The 21,850-nt window shown below is 44.3% G+C and overlaps 1 protein-coding gene and 1 non-coding gene across 36 annotated transcripts in view; both read left to right on the top strand.

Moving 5' to 3' along the window:
* The window catches only part of SLC39A11 (solute carrier family 39 member 11), a 446,740-nt gene that overhangs the window by 266,542 nt on the left and 158,348 nt on the right, over window positions 1-21,850 (top strand). For 5 of the 35 annotated variants that reach the window (XM_017024340.3, XM_006721758.5, XM_047435576.1 and 2 more), the window contains one exon: window positions 2,264-4,542. The exons of 27 other annotated variants lie outside the window; for them this stretch is intronic. In XM_017024340.3, the coding sequence (XP_016879829.1) occupies window positions 2,264-2,385 (122 nt within the window). In that variant the 3' untranslated portion in view covers window positions 2,386-4,542. Of the gene's footprint in view, window positions 1-2,263; window positions 4,543-7,742; window positions 8,044-9,760; window positions 13,735-21,850 lie in introns of those variants that run through there. 3 more of the 35 variants (XM_011524498.4, XM_011524496.3, XM_047435572.1) reach the window with 3 other exon arrangements.
* Window positions 7,175-7,311, top strand: LOC124904115 (small Cajal body-specific RNA 24). The gene has a single exon (XR_007065993.1).

Here is a 21,850-nt window from a genome sequence, read left to right as displayed (position 1 = left end):
GTCACCTCTCACCAGGCCTTTCCTCCAACACTGGGGATTACAGTTTGATATGGGATTTGGGTGGGGACACAAATCCAAACCATATCATTCCATCCCTGGCCCCTCCCAAATCTCATGTCCTTCTCACATTTTAAAATACAATTATGCCTTCCCAACAGTCCCCAAAGTCTTAACTCATTCCAGCTTTAACTCAAAAGTCCACAGTACAAATTCTCATCTGAGACAAGGCAAGTGACTTCCACCTATGAGCCTGTAAAATCAAACCCAGTCAGTTACTTCTAAGATACAGTGATGGTACAGGCATTGGCTAAATACTCCCCATTCCAAAAGGCAGAAATCAGCCAAAACAAAGGGGCAAATCCAAAACCCAGCAGGGCAGTCATTAAATCTTAAAGCTCCAAAATAATCTCTAACTCCATGTCTCACATCCAGTCCACACTGATGCAAGGGGTGGAATCCCAGGGCCTTGGACATCTCCGCCCCTTTGGCTCTGCGCGGTACAGCCTCTTGGCTGCTTTTCCAGGCTCATGTTGAGTGCCTATGGCTTTTCCAGGCACATGGTGGAACTTGTCAGTGGATCTACCATTCTGGGATTGGAAGAACAGTGACCTCTTCTCACAGCTCTACTAGGCAGTGCCCTAGTGGGAACTCTGTATGGGGGTTCAAATGCCACACTCTCCTCTGCACTGCCCTAGTTGAGGTTCTCCATGAGGGCTCCACCCCTGCAGCACACTTCTGCCTGTATATCCAGGCATTTCCATACATCCTCTGAAATCTAGGTTGAGGCTCCCAAGCTTCAGCTCTTGCCTTCTGAACACCCAAAAGCTTACCACCACGTGGAAGCCACCAAGGTTTATGGCTTGCACCCTCTGGAACAGTGGCCTGAGATGTATCTGGGGCCCTTTTAGCCATACCTGGAACTGGAGTGGCTGGGATGCAGGGAGCAGTGTCCCAATGTTGTGCAGGGCAACAGGGCCCTGAGTCTGGTCTGCAAAACCATTCTTCCCTCCTAGGCCTCCAGGCCTATGATGGAAGGGGCTTCCACAAAGGTCTCTGAAATGCCTTTGAGGCATTTTCCCTGTTGTCTTGGCTATTAACATTCGGCCCCTCTTTACTTATGTATATTTCTGCAGCTGGCTTGAACTTTTCCCTAGAAAATGGGTTTCTCTTTTCTACTGCATGGTCAGGCTGCAAAGTTTCTAAACTTTTTGCTCTGCTTCCCTTTTAAATATAAGTTCAAGTTTCAGATCATCGTTTTGCTCACACATATGACCATATGCTGTTGGAAGCAGCCAGGCCACATCTTTAATGCCTTGCTGCTTAGAAATTTCTTCTGCTAGATACCCTAATTTATCACTCTCAAATTCACAGATCCACAGGTCACGAGAGCAGGGGCCCAATGTCAGCAGTCTCTTTGCTCAGGCATAGCAAGTGACCTTTACTTCAGTTCCCAAAAAGTTCCTCCATCTAAGACCACTTCAGCCTGGACTTCATTGTCCGTATCACTATCAGCATTTTGGTCACAAAAATTTAAAAAGTCTCTAGGAAGTTCCCAACTTTCCCTCATCTTCCTGTCTTCCTTTAAGCCCTTCAAACTGTTCCAACCTCTGCCTTTTACCCAGTTCCAAAGTCACGTCCACATTTTCAGGTATCTTTATAGTAATGTCCCCACTCCCGGTACCAATTTACTATATTAGTCCATTCTCGCATTGCTATAAAGAACTACCTGAGACTGGGTAATTATAAAGAAAAGAGATTTAATTGGCTCACAGTTCTGCAGGCTGTACAGGTAGCATGGCTGGGGAGGCCTCAGGAAACCTTCAGTCATGGCAGAAGGCAAAAGGGTAAGCAGGCATGTCTTCACATGGTGGAGCAGGAGAGAGAGAGAGTGAAGGGGAAGGTGCTACACACTTTTAAACAATGAGATTTCATGAGAACATATTCACTATCATGACAACAGCAAGGGGGAAGTCCACCCTATGATCCAGTCACCTCCCACCGGGCCCCTCCTCCAACATTGGGTATTACAGTTTGATATGAGATTTGGGTGGGAACCCAAATCCAAACCATATCACTGGTTTATGTATAAAAGGGAATTTTATGTTTTTTTGTGCTTTTATTTTAAATTGAATACAACTTTGGCATTGAAAAAATTTTTCTGAATATGGAGACTTGGTGTTTTTCTCTTCTTCGTTCTTTCTCACCTAGAATCCCATCTATTCATTACCAAGTTCAAGGATCTACGCTTGTTTGCTCTCTACAGGTTTCCATTTAGCTGCAAGAAACAGCACTGTATTTTTCAAAGCACTAGAAAATTCTGTGGCCAGTCCAGAAAGACAAAACATAGCACCAGTGTGGCAAGAAGTGGAGCTAATGCAGCATTAATGATCCTGGATGTTTCTGCACTTTCTTATTAGAATTTACCATTCACCTCTAAGCTTCAGCTCTGCAGTGCCCCCTATTTGGGATTATTGAGCAATGTTTAACGGGAAAGAAATGATGTCTGTTCTCCAGCCAGTGACTCTGAGTAATGATATCAGGTGTTGGTGATCTCAGAACTGAAATGGAGCTCATGAAACTACTTTGTGGCTTGGAGGGAGGCAAGTGGATGGATGGCTTGGACGGGGTTGTTTTAGGAACATATGCAGCGTGGGAACATCTCTCAGTCTGTGAATTTGTGCCACTTTAAAGACTGCAGGGTTTGTGCCTGGCTGCTGTTGCCAGATGAGTTTAGAGAGATTGATGCACGGAACCAATGTCTGGAAAGCCCACTGAAGGAGATGGAAGATACAGGCTACTGAGACAGTTTACTTCAGAACCTGCTACTTGGATATTTACCCTAAAATCTGGCTCCTGGCACTCTGGGTAAGAGAGATGGGAGTAAGAAGACTCATGCCTCAAGGTCAAAGTTGGGTGACCTAGAAGGACTTCTCTTTAACCCTGATTGCAATGAAAGTAGTTTTCATCCACAGAGAGAGTTCTCACGGTATTTGTTGATTTTTCTTCCATTTTGTCTTGGGGCAGGCACTGAGTTGAACGCTTTTGGACTCACCTCTTCCTGCCTTGTCCCAGCTTTTCCTTTATATGTGTTTCAGGCATTTGAAAGTTTAGGACCAGGCACAGTGGCTCATGCCTATAATCCCGGCACTTTGGGAGGCTGAGGTAAGAGGATTGCTTGAGCTCAGGAGTTTGAGACCAGCCAGGGCAACTGACCTCACCTCTACAAAAACAGGGCAAGACCTTGCCTCAACAAAAAATAAAAAAATTAGCTGGGTATGGTGGTGTGTGCCTGTGGTCCCAGCTACTTGGGAGGCTGAGATGAGAGGATTGCTTGAGCCCAGGAGGTTGAAGCTGCAGTGAGCTATGATCGTGCCACTGCACTCCAGCCTGGGTGACAGAGCAAAAAAAAAGAAAGAAAAGAAAGAAAGAAAAAAAGTTTAGGGTTGGAAGTGTTTGCCACTTATTTCCTTTGTCTCCTGTCCTCTTTCCCTGTTTCAACCTCAAATCACCCTTCTCTCCCTGGTGAGAACGCCTGACCAGGGGCATAGAGTGTGGTGAGCAACAGTTTCCAGGAAACAAGTTACTCTGAAAATTGACACCTGTTTCTCTCAGTTGTTGTGCACTGGCCACGTGAAGCTGAGGGCATAGGCCCTCCAGACCCGCCCCTAATATTTGCAGAGCTGGGAGCAAAAGTACAAATGGAGTCTTATATGTCATATGTCTAGAAAATTTTAAGTCATGAGTCAAATTAACAGATTGCATTTAGATAGATCTCTCTCCCTCTCTCTCTCTATATATATATTCTTTCTCTCTCTCTCTCTATATATATATTATATCTCTCTATATATATTATATATATAATCTCTCTCTATATATATTCTCTCTCTCTATATATATATAGTATGTGTGTATAGTATGTATATAGTATATATATAGTATATGTGCATATAATGTGTAGTACATATATGAGTACTCTTTTTCATATTGTCTCCTACTCTGACAAAGACATCTTCATAGGGACCTGGGAAACCAGGTTCAAATTTTCAGCCTCCCTGGAGTTTTGTTGGATGTGGCCGCCCAGGGAGAAATGGCCCCAGCCAGTCCCATTCTCTTCCTGTCTCCAGCTGCAGCTTGCACATCAGGAGACCTGCTTGCCAGAAGGTGGACCTGTTTGGACCCTCAGTGTACACCAATGGCTTGGTCTCCCACAGGGGAATGGACCCAGGGAAGAGGACTATGCAGGCCCTGTCAGTGGAGTGGGGATTCCACTACTTTGGATGGAGAATTCCAGAGGGCTGGGTATCCAGAGTGTGGTCACATCCCATGACCTGTGATCCTTGCCTCATGAGAAGGGGCCCGTCTGTGAGGCCTGGCCTCGGAGTCCCTTTTGCCTCAGTCTGAGGGAGATACTGAGTTTCTCAGATGAAAACATCACCAGGACTGTCTTTCTTGAGTTGAACTTGATCTTTTAAATTCATTCCTTTGAGTTGTACTTAGCTAAAATGTGGATATCCCTATACATTATATTGTTTTGACCTCTAACACTGTGCTGTGTGTATGTCTTTTCAGATTTTTTTTTCCACAAAAAATCTGTTCAAATTCCCCACCCCCAACTTTTTTTTTTTTTTTTTTTTTTTTTTCGTGACAGAGTCTCACTCTGTTGCCCAGGCTGGAGTGCAGTGGTACAATCTTGGCTCACCACAACCTCCGCCTCCTGAGTTCAATCGGTTCTTGTGCCTCCGCCTCCTGAGTAGCTGGGACTACAGGTGTGCATCACCATGCCCAGCTATTTTTTTTTGTATTTTTAATAGAGACGGAGTTTTACCATGTTGGCCAAGCAGGTCTCCAATTTCCGACCTCAGGTGATCCACCCTCCTCAGCCTCCCAAAGTGCTGAGATTACAGGCCTGAGCCACTGTGCCTGGCCCAGATTTCCCCTTTTTATAAGGACCTTGGTAATAATGGACTAGAAGCCCACCCTACTGCATGATGATCTCATTCTAACGTAATTAATTATACCTGCGAACCACCCAGTTTCCAAAAACCTCACATTCTGAGTTATTGCGAGTTGGGACATCTACATATTAATCTGGAGGAGAGACCATTCAATCTGCAACACCCTCCATCCTGGGAAGACTAGGCAGAGGATATTTTACCTGCAAACAAAAACAAAAACAAAAACAAAAAACCTTATAATACGGCAGACATTCCAAGGCCCTGCTATTCTGTATTCACCTGCCATCACCCTAGTAACCCAGGAAGTGCTGGGGGGACCCTGTGCTCTGACTTGCTGGGAGGCAGCTGTACCCCCATCCACATGTTTCTCCTCCCTTTCCTCCTCTGTCCCCCAGTTTCTGCCCCATTCTTTTCACCTGGCCGGCTTCTGCCCGCCCGTTAGCACCCAGCTCCAGGGCATCTTTACGGGAAACATCTCTCATCTCACCCCATGCCTGCATAGCGTCCATCGTTTGCCTTTCCTTGTGTCCCCAGCACTCTGGCTCCCCCAACACTGTGCCCCCAACCCTGTTCCATAATGACTTTTTCCTGACAAGAGCATGGGCTCTTTGGGGACAGAGTCTTGCTGAGCTCTGCAATCCCAGTGTAGGATGTGCCATGTAATAGATCCGCGGTGGCAGGAGAGAGAGGGTGCTCCTGTTGAAGGGAGGTTGTGAGGGTGCTCTGAGCTGCAAAGGCTCAGCAAAGGAGAGAGGAGAGGCACAAGGAAAATTAGGGAGGGACTGGGAAGGCCTTAAAGATGCTCTTGTTTCACTTTGCTTAAGACAGCTACAAATGTATTCATGAGGATGGGACATCGCAAGAACTTAAACCAGGGCTCCATGTGACCCTGGGGGCACAACAAAATTCAGTTATTTGGAAGACAGTTTCAACATCCAGAGGGGAAAATAGTCAAAGATCATTTTCCCACAGGCAGTTTCTCCCATACCTACCTTTTCCAGCAGGCAATGGTACCACTTTTATTACAATTGTCCATAGGTCACATCACCCAAGACCATAGTCAGTGACCTTCCCTCTTAGTGTAAACTGACGGAAGTCACAGAAGTCACTTGTTTTCTGGCTTTGGCGTGCTCGTTGTCAATCGGAAGGAAGCCTTTGTGCCTGTGCTGATGTCTCACCTGCCTTCCCTAGAGTCCTGTCCCCTTAAGAATGTGTAGAGGCCCAGAGGGAACACAGGGCCTAGCATGAATTGACAGGATTGAGTTTGGGGACAGCACAGAGGAGCACAGGTGGTGTGAGCTTCTTAACACAGAGAGGGAGTCATTGTCTCTGGGCTCTCCTTTGGAGTTGACCACTGTCTAGCTTCATTTCCTTGAGCCAGTTTCTGATTTGAGAATAATTTGTCTTCTGCAAAATGGAAATAATAACTTCTGTGCCACCTACTTCCCAAAATGGTTTGGGATCCACCAAGAGGCTGTTGGAAAAGCCTAAAATGCATTCAGTGTACTGTTGAATTGTTCATGTGATTGTTATTGTCATAGGCTGTTTTTTGGGCTTCTAGAAGTTCAAAATCCCAGAGGGGCTTTGCAGAGAGTGGCTCACCTTCACTCGCTCTTAGTGTTACTTTTGTTCCTGCCTGAAGTAGAGAAGGACTTTGCATGGTTCCCTGCTGAGCAGAGAGGTGGGATTGGCCATCTGCCCCCTTTCCTTTCATATTAGTTTCTTAGGGCTTATGGAACAAATGGCCACAAACTGGGTGGCCTGAAGAACAGAAGTTGATTCTCACACAGTTCTGGAGGCCAGGCATCTGAAATCAAGGTGGCCACAGGGCTGCTTCCTTCTGAGGGCTCTGAGGGAAGGATCTGTTCCAGGGCTGTCTCCTTGGTTTGCAGATGGCTTCTTCTCCCTCTGTCTCTTGACGTCATCTTCTCTTTATGTATGTCCGATTCTGTGCTCAAATTTCCCCTTTTTATGAGGACACTTTTAATATTGGATTAAGGGCCCACCCTACTCCATTATGATCTCATTCTAACTTAACTAATTATATCTGCAAACCACACAATTTCCAAATAAGTTCACATTCTGAGTTATTGCGAGTTGGGACGTTCACATATTAATTTGGGGGAGAGACAGTTCAATTTATGACACCCCTCCATCCAGGGAAGACTAGGCAGAGGATATTTTACCTGCTTTTTTTTAAAAAAAACCTTATAATAGGGCAGACATTCATTTTTATCCAGTTTCTTCTCAAAGTGAAGATAACTTTTTGTAAATGTCCTAAAGTCATGTAGAATGTAGTAGCTTTCTGTTCACACTGTACAAATAAAAAGGATGGATCATTCTACAACTGACATTAAAAAAACTTGTAATATGATTATAAGCCAAATATAATCTAATTAATTGCTCAGATGAGTATACTGGTGAGATGACAATCTGTAGTTGACATGAGCCTGGGAGGGACAGGTAATTTCTGGGATGACTGAGTCACTAAATCAAAGGATCTCAACAGACTAGAATTCCTATTAGCTTAAACAAGGTGAAATGAGTAGACACAGGGACCTAAGTAGAGTCCAGAAATGAGGCCCCCCAAAGAAATGATAAAAGTATATTCAGAAGTGGGAAAAAGAACATAGGTTTTAAATCAATAGGCTTAATCTTTCATTCAGTCATATATTGATTCAAGAAATAGTCACTGCTTACCTCCTACCTGCAAGGTGCGAGGTAGCCTGCGAGTCTAAGCCATCCTTGTGAAGTCATTCCTCTCGGAACAAGCTACTTCATCTGCAGGTGCTTGTCCACACCTGGAGGAATGCACCCTCCAGATACCTCTCCAGGTGTCCAAGGAGCTACAAGATAGAAGAGACTGCCACAGCCTGGGGCTTTCAGACAAGAACCTCAGCAGGCTGGACTGGAAACTAAGCCACGGGAGCAGTGGCTTGACCTTTCGGGTCAAGATGATTGGACCTTTCAGGCTGGACAAAAGAAGACACAGGTGATATAAACTGCTTTATGTCTTGAAAGGACCCCTGATATGGTTTGGCTGTATCCCCACCCAAATCTCATCTTGAATTGTAGTTCCCATAATCCTCATGTGTCGTGGGAAGGACTTGGTGGGAGACAATTGAATCATGGGGGCGATTACCCTCATGCTGCTGTTCTCATAATAGTGTGTGAGTTCTCATGATATCTGATAGTTTTATAAGGGGCTTTTCCCTCTTTGCTTGGCATGTCTCTCTCCTGTCACCATATGAAGAAGGACGTGTTTGCTTCACCTTCTGCCATGATTGTAAGTTTCCTGAGGCCTCCCCAGCTGTGTGAAACTGTGAGTCAATTAAACCTCTTTTTTAAATAAATTAGCCAGTCTTGGATATGTCTTTATTAGCTGCGTGAGAATGGAATAATACAGACCACCATGGGGACAAGAGTTTGGGTTTATCCTATGTTTACTCCCAGGCTGGAAATAGGACCCAGGAGTGGAAGGTAAAGGGAAATAGATGCTAACACAGTCTAAGGAATACATTTTTCACAATTAGAACTGTGTAAAGATGAAATACTTTGTTCGTCTTGGGAGTTAGTGATGTTGTCATAGCCATCATCCATTGAGCGCTTCCCATGGGTGTACCTGCTGTGGTTTGGATGTGGGTTTTTTGGCTCTGCCAAATCTCACTGAAGTTTCATTGTTGGAGATGGGGCCTGGTGGGAGGTGCTTGGGTCATGAGGGTGGATCCCTCATGAATGCCTTGGTGCCATTCTCCTGGGAGCAAGTTCTCACTCTTAGTTCCAGCAAGAATTGGTTGTTGAAAAGACCTTACACCACCACCTCCTCCTCCTCCTCCTCCCCCTCCCCCTTCTTTTCCTTCCCTCCCTCCCTCCCTTCTTTTCTTCCTTCCTTCCTTCCGTCTCTCATGCTTCCTCTCTTGCCATTGACCTCTGCACATGCCAGTTCCCCTTTGCCTTCCACCATGAGTGGAAGCTTCCCGAGGCCCTCATCAGAAGCACATGTTGACACCATGCTTCTTGTACAGGCTTCAGAACCATTGGCCAAATAAATCTCTTTTCTTTATAAGTTACTCAGCCTGGGGTATGTATTCCTTTATATCAACACAAATGGACTGAGACACAACCTGTTCTTATTTAACACTTTCTAGGGAAAGAGGCCCTAGGATTTGCCATAGCAAACCATTACTGCATCTAATATCAAGCACCCTGGAAGTAAGAAAATAATTATGATCAAGCTGGCTATTTTATTTCCCAGACCACAGAGTCTGGAAGAAACTATTTGCATACATATTAATGGATCAGAAGTAAATTTTACTTTTGGAAAAAGAACTCTGTTCTTTATCTCTCTCCCATTAAGCTTGGGCCTGGGCTATGGTGTATGAAATCCAATCTCCAATACCAGGAAATGATTATTTATTTGAACGCTCCCCTAAAACCCATTAAGTGCTCTGGAGTGTTAGTTTGGGATGACAGATTTCGTAGCTGGGCTACGGACACCTGGGAGAGCTTGGGTTTGTTGTGTTTCATATGAGCCTTTCTCTGTGCATGACCAGCTCTGAGTGAGGGGATTAGGAGCCTCCAGCCGTGGTTGACAGACACCTCTGCAAATCTGGATCACCCTCTCTGTTAGCCTGGGACGTGTTCTATGACCCTGTTGCTTTCCTTAATGTGTTGGCTTTGTGCTTGGAGATAACTTGCAAATGTTCGTCAAGCAGTTGTGCCACAGCTTTTAAATGTTTCGCTTCTAATTAAGAAAGGGAATTGGATGTGCTCTTGCCTGGCTATGTTTTTTTTTTCCCTGGCAGGAGAATGAGGGTGGGAAGAAAGAGCAAAAGAAACAGCAAAGAGATTAGAAAAACAACAACAACAGAACTCTCTGATTCACCAATGATCAAAGCTGTGTCTGGAAGTTCATTGCTGTTACAGCATCCTGTTCTCCCCAACATGTAGGGATTCCTAAGTTCAAGTCCCATCTGAAGAATATAGTCATGGAGCTGAAAGGACACTCTACAACTGGGCAACCACCTTCAGGAACTTTCCTCAGCCTACAGAAATAAGGACAGATGATTTAGAATGAAGCACATAGGACTTTGAAAACCAAGTTCAACTCTCCGCAATGGATTCTGGCTTCTGAGTTAGGATAAGGGATTGGCTGCATGTATAGAATATCTGAAACAATGTTATCTTTTCTCATATAAAGGAAAGCTAGAGACAGGCATTCCAGCACAGGTACAACAACAACAAAACACTTTTAGGGACATCAGACTTTTTGAGACACAGTTTTACTCTGTTGCTCAGGCTGGAGTGCAATGGCCCAATCTCGGCTCACTGCAGCCTCCACCTCCCAGGTTCAAGCGATTCTCCTGCCTCATCTCCCAAGTAGCTGGAACTGCAGGTGGCCACTACCACATCTGGCTAATTTTTGTATTTTTAGTAGAGGCAGGGTTTCGCCATGTTGGCCAGACTGGTCTCAAACTCCTGATCTCAAGTGATCTGCCTGCCTTGGCCTCCCAAAGTGCTGGGATTATAGGTGTGAGCCACCACACCTGGCCCTAGGACATAAATCTTTTTTTTGAGACAGAGTTTCGCTCTTGTTGCCCAGGCTGGAGTGCAGTGGTGTGATCTCGGCTCACTGCAACCTCCACCTCCTGGGTTCAAGTGATTCTCCTGTCTCAGCCTCCCAAGTAGCTGGGATTACAGGCACCTGCCACCATGACCTGCTAATTTTGTATTTTTAGTAGAGACAGGGTTTCTCCATATTGGTCATGCCGGTCTCTAACTCCTGACCTCGTGATCCACCTGCCTTGGCCTCCCAAAGTGCTGGGATTACAGGCATGAGCCACCACGCCCAGCCTCTCCTGCATTCTTTCTGGAGCTTTCCGAGTCTGTAGGGTGAAATCATAACAGCTTGATTTTCTCATATCAATGTCTTCCTAACCTGTTCTGTTGGCTCTCCCTTCCCTTCCCCTGGGTGATTCCATAGACAGCTACATTTTCCTGTAAGTTTTAGGTATTGATGAGCAGATTCATTGTCATATGCAATCCCGATGGACCAGTCTTAATAGAACTTCAGCATCTCCTTGAGTAGAGCATTCTTTCCTTCCACCAATAACTCCTGGGTTGCTTTAGCCTTGGCAGCCTGCAGTGGACAAGATGTGGGTGGTTTGCCCCTTCCTTAGTTTTTTACCCCCTACCCTGCTTGCCTTGCCAATTCCTTAGGATTGAAGGAAGAAAGAAGTGAAGGATTGTGTTTGGGTGGTGAGTGACAAAAGGCCTTCCCTAAAGGTTACAGTTATAATTTAGTGTTGGTGTCCTTGAAGTAGCAGATTCTCAAGTGTGGACCATTGTTCTCATGGGGTCCTAATTGTGAGGGCTCTTCAGAGCCTCTTCATGGAAATATACACAGGGATGGGCAGGATGCATTGTGGATGACCTCTTGGGGTCCCCCCAGCCCCAGGTGATCCTCTCTGCACAGATGCTATTAGAATCAGTTTGTCCTTGCAGGCTGATCTCTCGGGTTAACCTTTATAGCTTGTTTGTACCTAGTCACCTTCTAAAATGTCACCTTGGCCCTTTGCCTCTGGAAATGCAGGCTGCTTCCAGGGCATCCCCCTCTCCTCTGATGGCTACTGGAGTTCTCTCAGGCACCTTCTCACCTCGGGACTATTCCACAATGTGTTCAGAGCCCAGTTCTCCAGAGGAGCATGCCAAACTCTGCAAGCATGTCTCTTGCAGTGGCCCTCATTTGGCCTGAGTATAGAGGAACTCCTCCATCCTCAGGGTGAGCTCTGACAACTCTCCAAGGCCGTTCTTGGTATGGTCGTTCTTGTCTCTCCGCCTTCCATGGGACCACTGGGGGCCGAGGGCACCATTTGGGAGGAACTACTCCTTCTCCAGTTCTGCAAGAGGGTCAGGTACTTCTCAGTAGAGTAACACTGTCCTGTAGAACTTTCTGCAGTGATAGAAATACTCAGTATCTGCACGGTCCAGTATGGTAGCCATGAATCCCCTGGGGCTTTTGAGTACTTGAAAGGTGGCTGCTATGACTGAGGAAATGGTGTGTAATCTTGTTTAATTAATTTAAGTGTAAAAAGCCGCATGTGGCTACTGTATTAGACATGCCGTGTTGTTCTAGAATGTAGAATGAGAGGGTAATGTCAACAGTTTTTCTCAGCAACAGTTCTGAGACCGGATAAGTCCCATTATATATCTTGCTCAGCTCTCTCAAGAAAGCGGTTCTCATGGCCTCCTAACCCATCAGTGAGTAGCGCTGTCAGTGTCACGTTTTAAATGTTGCTTCACAAAAGCACTCTTACGGAGGTAGACTCTAGCCTTCATTAGTGGAATATGCAGGTCCTTCTCTGCCGCCTCCCTCTGCCCCATCCTGCCTTAACTAAAGGCGTTTTACTCTTTTGAGGGTAATATTTGAAGTCTTAGCTCCTGGCGTACTTTTGTACCACCTGCTAAAAAGCTCATTGCTTTCCTGGCAGAAGTGCCCCTGGCAGTGCTATGATGGGCTTTTGGCTGAGAGGCAGAGTGATCAACTTCTGCTTTTCTCTCCGGAGAACACTTGGTAGATTGGATGCTGCCAAGAGTTCCACAGCATTCTGATGATGACATCCATGATTATAGAGGAGGATAGAACTAGTCCCAGGGTCTGATCCATGAATGTATTTGCCCTTAGTTCAGGCTCAGCTTCATAAAGAACCATGGTATTTTACCAGGTTAATCAAGTACAGTCTAAGGTAGCAGAAAATTAATATTATGCTTTAGAATGTGCAGTAGCTCTGCTTATTCTAATTAGAGAAAATGGGTGTCTTAATTAGACAAAAATATCGAAATTTTTAGAGCACTTTAAACAAATTCGGTTTTATTACTTCAAAATACAAATTAAAATCTGACAATGGGGACCAGAAAAGAGTTCTCCATCCGTTAGGGTTTGTTGGTTGTGAGCAACAGATGTCATCTCTGGCCAGCTAAAGCATATGAAGAAGTTTTTCAAAAGTATAAGGAGTAACTCAGAGAATCTAAGGAAAAGCTAGTCTTTGGAAGACCAATAGCAAGGCATCCCAAAACCTGCAATAATAGACGGGAGCTATGGGCAGTCTCTTCAAAGAGCTGACGTCAGAATGACTCACGAACAACCATTTTCTGCCCCTGTGTCATTCAGCTCAACTTTCAATTCTGGAAGAGAAAATCGGATTGGGAGAATCCAGGTCAGGTTGTAGAGGCCAACACTAAGGGGCGGGGAGGAGCTTGTTCATCGGACTGTGTAGGATGGAGGCAGGGAATTTCTCAAAGAAAAGCGGGATGCTATCACCAAAAGAAGCAGTAAGGATGCTGAGCTTATGAAAACTAAACCCCCCCAAGCACAATGCCTTCTTAAATGACATCGAGATATTTATACACAAGAGGGAGTTACAAGAACGAACTTGCTATTTATTTGTCATTGTAGTTTTCATCCATATATCATAGAATGTTAAAGTTCACCGTAAAAAGACGACTTTGGAAATTATTCAGTTTACCCTAGTATGTGCACTTTTCAAATCAAGAAACTGGATGTCTTGTCCAAGGCTGGGTAATAGCAGAGGTGGGACCAGAAGCAGATGTTTTGACTGTGATATGAGGCCCCGTTGCTATTCCATTCTGCCTTGCTCATCAAGAATTACTTTTAAGTTGCTTAAAGGCACATTATCTTCTTGTGTGGCTAACCATTTCTTTTGCAATCTGAATGATGCAATTAAATTGCCTAGACATCTTTGTTATACATTGTATCCAACCCTAGACTCTAGATTCTAAATCATTCAAATGTACCTTAATTTTTATTGTTGCTCTGATTTCAAATAGAAACCAAAATGTCTAGGATACAGCAGTGATGATTCTTAAAGCTGACCCTGGGAGAAAATCTACTAACGGATAAAGTTTGCCAGCCCATCAGGTTGACTGCCCAGATGCTTGTCTTCCCTCCGAAAGGATCTCTGGTTACACTAACATGACCTTGGGGAGCAGCTTTCTCTCCAAGCATAATAGTATCTTATTTTTTCTTATTTTTCTGGCCAGAGAAAATATAATATCATTTATACTAAGGCCAAGTTTTTGTGGGGGAGACAAAAAGACAGTTTATTTAGTGATTCACTAAGTTCATTGGTAGAAATAACTCTCTCCAAAGCCTTGTATTGTTACACAGCTTTGCTGATAGGATTTTTTATTGTGGATGCAATTTCATCACTTTATAAATATAAGGCTTTGCTTTAGATTCACTATTTTTATGGCAAAGTTACATTCTCATCTAATAGCATGTGTTATATTCATTGCACTAAGCTAGTTGAGTATAAAAGACATTGGTGATGTGGTTCCCTTATCATCTGGTCAGTAGTAGGAGGATTAAGAGCAGAGAAATCATGTGTCTGGTTGAAAGGGAGGAAAGAGAATATTTTTGTTAAATAAAAAACAAAACCAACAAACTTTTCCCAAGTGGACAAAGAATTTTAGAATTTGGATGAACCTGAAAGATAATATAGTTCACCTCTTTGTTGTAAGAGGAAATTGAAGCTCACAGAAAGTGTGACTCCTCAAAGAGCACACCACTGATAGTAGAACAGGGAGAAGAAAGACTAAGCTATGCATTTTAGATACAGCATCTCAGTTACTGCATCTCTGACAGGCAAAGATGCCCAGCCTCTCCCTTCTGAGATCCAGGTGGATTTCTGATTAGGTAGAACTTTTACCCTGGAAAACTATTTTTCCACAAAGCTTTAAAATTATAAACAGTGATTGCCATGGCCTGAATGTTTGTACCCCCAAAATACCCAGTTTCCAATGTGATGGTTAGGAGGTGGGGCTGTCAGGAGGTAATTAGGTCATAATGGTGGGGCCCTAGAGACTGGATTAGTGCCCTTAAAAGAGAGGCCCCATAGAGTTGCCTGACCCTTTCTACCATGTGAGGATACAGGAAGAAGTTGGCAGTCTGACACTCAGAAAATGCACCCTCCCAGACAATGAATCTGCTGGTGCCATGAATTTGGACTTCCCAGCCTCAAGAACTGTGAGAAACAAACAATTGTTGTTTGTAAGCTGCTCAGGTATTTTGTTATAGCAGTCTAAACAATGTTTTTTTTTTTTTGCTTTTATTCAAATCAAGTTTTAACATATATACAGTAAAACAAATCTTAAATATACAACTTAAAGAATTTTTACGGGCCAGGCATGGTGGCTCACGCCTGTAATCCCAGCATTTTGGGAGGCCAAGGCAGGCAGATCACCTGAGGTCAAGACCAGGCTGGTTTGAGACCAGCCCAGCCAACATGGTGAAACTCTTTTTCTACTAAAAATACAAAAATTAGCCGGATGTAGTGGTGTGCACCTATAATCCCAGCTACTCAAGAGGCTGAGGCAGGAGAATCGCTTGAAACTGGGAGGTGGAGATTGTAGTGAGCCAAGATCATGCCACTGCACTCCAGCCTGGGCAACAGAGTGAGACTTTGTCTTAAAAAAAAAAAAGAATTTTTACATATGTATATCCCATATAACCACTATTGAGATCATGATACAAAATACCCTAGCAACTCAGAAGCATTCCTGATAGCTCTTCCTAAGCAGTAATTTCCTCTAAGAGATAATTAGTATTCTAATTCTTTTTACCATAGATAGGTTCCACCTGCTCTGGAATATCATTTAAATGGAATCATACTGCACATTCTGTTCTGTAGCCAGCTTCTTTTGCTTAATGTGACATCTCTGAGGTTCGTCTGTGTGCATTGCAATAGTTGATTACATGTTTTTTACTATGCAGTATTCTATTGTATTTATATGCTACTATTTGTCCATTCTTCTGTGAATGGATGCTTGGGTGTTTCCAGTTTGGGCTATTAGGAGAAAAACCACAATGAGTGTTTTGTATTTGTGTTTTGATGAACACACACTCATTTTTCTTGTATATGTACCTAGGGGTAGAATTGTTGGGTCATAGCATAAGCATGTGTTAAGCTTTAATAGGTAAACCAGTAAGTACTATTTGAGAATTGGGGAAAGATATTTTCTTAAGAGAGTATTCAAGTATTATTATTACTAGAGTTTTCTTCATTTTCTTTTCTTTTTTTTTTTTTTTGTTGTTTTTGTTTTTGTTTTTGAGACAGAGTCTCATTCTTTCACCCAGGCTGGAGTGCAGTGGCATAATCTCAGCTTATTGCAACTTCTGCCTCCTGGGTTCAAGCAATTCTCCTGCCTCAGCCTCCCAAGTAGCTGGGATTATAGGTGCCCACGCCTGGCTAGTTTTTGTATTTTTAGTAGAGACGAGGTTTCTTCATGTTGGCCAGGCTGGTCTCAAACTCCTGACCTCAAGTGATCTGCCCACCTCAGCCTCCTAAAGTGCTGGGATTACAGGTGTGAGCCACCACGCCCAAACTCTTCGTTTTCAATTAAACAAACAAACAAACAAAATCTGAGGCTTGGGATAGTTAAGCAGACCTTGTTTAAATGTGGCAGATTTTAACACATGCATTTCTGCTGCTTCCTAAAATACCGTTAAAATGAAAGTAAGAGTCTCTCTCTTTTGGACATACCTTTTTAATGCCATACTGTTACTCCAAGATGTGATGAGTGATGAGAGGTCCTCAGATATTTGAACCATGGATGCAGAAATGGACAAAGAGTAGAGAAAGATGGAGTCCAGGTGATTGCAAAAGGGAAGCCACGAAGAAGCAAGCTGAAATGTCCTGCATAAACCCTAGGAAGTGTCGAGATCCTGAGGCTCCAAACTTGGAGTAGAGATGGGATCGCAAACAGGATGGTTGGTTGTGATCTGTATCAGGAATCCTTAGAGCTCATCCCACACCAAATAACAGAACAATTGCCGCTCCTGTACCACGGCAGGAGAAAAATTTGTTATCCAGATAAATGAACCAAGAGAGGTATCTGGAGAAAGTGAATCCCAGGAGAAGGTGGGCCTGAGAGGGCAGAAAGAAAGAGAGAGAGAGAGAGAGAGAGAGAGAGAAAGAAAAGAAAGAAGATGATCTAAGCCGAAATTGGGAATAGTGAAACCAAGATTATATCCTCCGGGGAAGAGAGGAAAAGACTGCTGGACTCTGCTGCAGGATCTTAGAGAAATAATCTCCAAACTGTAACCACCCAACATGTTCTTCTTGCCCACAGCACAGATAAATCCAATCCACTGAGATAATGTTGTTTCAGTAGAGAAAGAGTTTAATTAACATAAGGACAGCCAAGTGGAAAGAGAAGACAGTTTATTACTCAAATCTGCCTCCCTCAGAAGTTAAAGGCTAGGATTTTTATGGATAATTTGTTGGGCAGGGGGCTTGGGAATGCATGCTGCTGATTGGTTGGGGATGAAATCATAGAGGTGTGGAAGAGTCCTCATGTGCTGAGTCCGACTCTGGGTGGGAGCCACAGGACAGGATTGCTTAGGAATCACAGATCCAGGTGGGGTCAGTCAGGTGCCAGAATGCAAAAGTCTGAAAAACATCTCAAAAGACCAATCTTAGGTTCTACAATAGTGATGTATAGTGTTATCTATAGGAGCAATTGCAGAAATCACAAATCTTGTGACCTCTGGCCACACGACTCCTGAGCAGCAAGGGATTATAGAAAAACAAGCTAGTGGACATTTGCTGGCTGTCATTTAGCTATACCTACATTTTAGCAGAATTCAGGCCCCTCCCGTAATCCTAATCTTGTAGTCTGCACTTAGTCTTACAAAGCCAGTTTCAGTCCCTGAACAGGAAGGGGATCAGTTTTAGGGAGGGACTATTATCATCCTTGCTTTAAAGTTAAACCATAAACTAAATTCCTTGCCTGCACCTAAGAATGAGCGAGGGCAGCCCACCTGCAGGGCTAGAAGCCAAGATGGAGTCTGCCATGTCAAGCTTCTCTTCCTGTCATATTCTTTGCAAAGGCAGTTTCAAAACATTGATATTTGGAGGTCCACCTACCAAAAAGATGACTGGAGGCCCAATCCCCCTAGATGGTAGTTCCCCACCCAACAGGCCCCTTCTATGCATATGAGCCTCTGGTCCATTTCTTAATGCTTTGCAATTAAATATGACCAGTGATAAGAGAAACTCCTGTTTTCCCAACACTCACACACAGAACTTATGGCCAGCAAAGATGTGGGTATTTTTTTTTTTTCCTGTAACAACCAATTCTCTAGTTTTCTGAGAGCACCAATTTGGTGCCTTACAATTTAACTCAATTCTGACAGTATCCACCTGGAGATCGTGTCAGATCCCACAGGCTAAGGGCTCAGATCCCTTACTTCAGATGCTAAACACCAATCTAGGTTGTCAGCTGGGCTTCTCACCATCTGGCTGTAGATCAGGGGTTCCCACGACCCCCTCGTCGGGTTCAGTTATTTCCTAGAATGGCTCACAGAACTCAAGAAAACCATCTACTTGCAAAATTACCACTTTATCCTAAAAGGATACAACTCAGGAACAGCCAGATGGAAGAGATGCATTGGGCAGTTATAGGGAAAGAGGCATGGAGCTTCCATTTCCTCTCCAGGCCCACTGCCCTTCCAAGCACCTCCGTGTGTTCACCAACCTGGAAACTCATCATATCTTCTTGTTGAGTTTTTAGACGGCTTAATATCCAGCCTCCTTCGAATCCCCTCTAGGAGGTCAGTGGGTGGGGTTGATAATTCTAGCCTTCTAATCACTTGGTCTTTCTGGTGACCGTGACCAGCCCACCCTGAGACTATCTAGGGGCCTACCTCAAGTTAGTCACCTTATTAGCATAAACTCGGGTGTTAACAAAAGGGGCTCATTATGAATAAACAAAGACACTCCTATTCCTTAGTTAATTCCAGGAGTTTGGGAAGCTCTGTGCCACCAGACACAAAGACAAAATATGTTTTGTATTATACCACAACTGGATAGCTCTAATTCCTTAGACTTTTGAGGCATGCCTTCGGTATGAAAGATAAAGACAGAAAAATTAATTTGGAGATAACAGAAACAATGCAGAGGTCACAAGGAAACATAAAACAAAAGCAACAATGAAAATGATGAATATCCTCAGAGGGAGAAGAAGAGGATGCTATCAATAATGAAAAGGCACAATTAGATTAAGAAGGAGCTCTTGGAAATCAAAAACAAGATAGCTAGAATAAAACAGTAGAAGGATGAAAAGATGAAGTTGAGGAAATCTCTTAAAAATAGAATAAAAGACATGTAGATGCAAAATGTGAGAAAAGAAGGTAAGGAAATGAGAATATGAATCCAGTAGGATCTACTGGTGACTCGTCAGCATTCCAGAAAGAAAGAGAAAATGGAGCTTAAAAAGCACAAAAGTGAGGCTGAGCACGGTGGCTCACGCCTGTAATCCCAGCACTTTGGGAGGCCAAGGCAGGCAGATCACCTGAGGTCAGGAGTTCGAGTCCAGCCTGGCCAACATGGCACAACCCCGTCTCTACTAAAAATACAGAAATTAGCCCGGCATGGTGACGGGCGCCTGTAATCCCAGCTACTCAGGAGGCTGAGGCGGGAGAATCACTTGAACTTGGGAGGCGGAGGTTGCAGTGAGCCAAGATCGCACCACTCTACTCCAGTCTGGGCGACAAAGAGGGACTCAGTCTCAAAAAAAAGTGCAAAAGTGATACAATAAAAACTTTCCCAAACTGAAGTACCTGAATTTTCAAGAGTGGGAAGGCCCCCTAAGTGCCAGCCCACTATATAAAAAAGGGACCGTTGCCAAGATACATCAGCATGAAATTGTAGAATGCTATCGTTAGAGCTTCCAGAAAGGGGGAAATAGTTTGGCAGAAGTGCTTCAAAGGTCTCCCCAGCAATAAACAAGGCTTTTAATTTCCCAAGCTTCAAGCTTTCAAAGTTCTGAGGAAAAATAATATTAAACCTAGAATTTTCTATACTCACATTCACTCAATGATGATTCATAGAATAAAGATGTTTTCAGACTTGTACCCTTCCTTAGGAAGCAGTTGAAGATTGGCTAGGAAAAGTAACGGCTGAGGGGGCGGCCAGGATAAACCAAGAAAGAAGATAACAAGATCCTGTAAACACCCTTCTGCCTTCACTAGTCCAAAAGGATCTCTAATTATAACTGGAACAGGTCTCTCTTCGTTTCCCAGCTTTAAAGTCAGGTTGGTTGCAAATTAACTGTAAGCCACCAGGTGCGGTGGCTCACACGTGTAATCCCAGTAATTTTAGGAGGCCAAGGCAGGTGGATAGCATGAGGTCAGGAGTTCAAGACCAGCCTGGCCAACCTGGCAAAATCCTGTCTCTACTATAATACAAAAAAAAATTAGCTGGGCATGGTGGCAGGTGCCTGTAGTCCCAGATACTTAGGAGACTGAGGCAGGAGAATTGCTTGAACCCAGGAGGCGGAGGTTGCAGTGAGCCAGGATCGCCCCACTACACTCCAGCCTGGGTAACAGAGCAAGACTCCATCTCAGAAAAAAAAAAAAGAAAAAGAAAAAGAAAAAAAAATTAACTCTGAGCCACATCTCCTGGCTGTCACTGTTTGCACTCAGGAGGACCTCACAGCTGGTCTGACATTCCTGACAAGAATTGATCAGGTAAGATACAAATCCAAGCCCATGGACGGAAGGAAGCAGAAACTGGAGGCTGTGTCTCACTGATCCAGGGCGGGAAGGAGCGCCACCAGGCCTCCCGCACTCCTGAGTATAAATCTGCCTTGACAGCACATCTGGCCACAGAAGATCGGGCACTGTAGGTGGCCAGTTCCACATGCTAAGTGCAAAGTCTGCTGATTGAACAAGTGGTGTCTCCTGCAGCCCAAGTTCACCCATCAATCTCCCTCATGCTTAGCCTCCCGAGAGCCCTGGGATGCATTCCAAGCAGGGGCAGTTGTCGAGAGTAGGCAAGCTTGAGCTACTATTCCTTCTGCCTGGAGGTGGGAGGCTGGAGGCTTGTTCAACAATTCCATCAGGATTACATAGGATGGAAGTAGGGGGTTTCTCAAGGAAAAGCAGGATGCTGTCACCAAAAGAAGGTAGAGATCCAGAGCCCCCACCAACCCACATGCCTCTTTAAATAGTACCAAAATATTTACACACACAGGAGGGCGGTATAAGAACAGACCTGGTATTTATTTATCCTTACAATTTTTCATCCATGTGTCATAGAATAGTCATGTTCAGTGATGGAAGGGGACTTGGGAGATTATTATTATTATTATTTGTGAGATGGAGTCTTGCTCTGTCACCAGGCTGGAGTGCAGTGGCATGATCTCGGCTCACTGCAACCTTCGCCTCCCGGGTTCAAGTGATTCTCCTGCCTCAGCCTCCCGAATGGGATTAAAGGTGCACGCCACCACGCCTGGCTGATTTTTGTATTTTTAGTAGAGACGGGGTTTCACCATGTTGGCCAGGATGGTCTTGATCCCCTGACCTCGTGATCCGCTGCCTCGGCCTCCCAGAGCACTGGGATTACAGGTGTGAGCCACTGCGTGGCCGGGAGATTATTTAGTTTACCCCAATGTGCCCACTTTACAGATCAAGAAACTGGATGACTGGTCTGAGGTGCCACAGCTAGGTCATGGCAGAGACAGGACCAGAAACGGATTTCTTGACTGCAGTTTGAGGCCCCGCTTACTATACCACTCTGCCTTACTCATCAACAAATGCTTGTATGTTGCTTGAAAGCACATGGTCTTCTTGCATGGTTAACCTTTCCTTTTATAATCTTACAGGCACAGTTAAATTGCTTAGGTATCTTTGTAATAGATCATATCCAACCCTCGACTTTAGATTCTAAATTATCCACATACTCTCTACTTGGGTGGGGAGTGGGAGGGAAGAGGGATGTGTGCTCCCAGCAAGGGTTTCTATCCTCCTCTGGCTGTGTGCTACCTGAGCTTTCTAGGACATTGACCACTGGGCAGAACTCCCTATGGGATGC

This window comes from Homo sapiens, chromosome 17 (genome assembly GCF_000001405.40).
Source record: "Homo sapiens chromosome 17, GRCh38.p14 Primary Assembly".
Classification (NCBI taxonomy): Eukaryota; Metazoa; Chordata; class Mammalia; order Primates; family Hominidae; genus Homo; species Homo sapiens.
The sequence above is the reverse complement of the archived record's forward strand: the minus strand, read 5'-3'. Positions and strand labels throughout refer to the sequence as shown.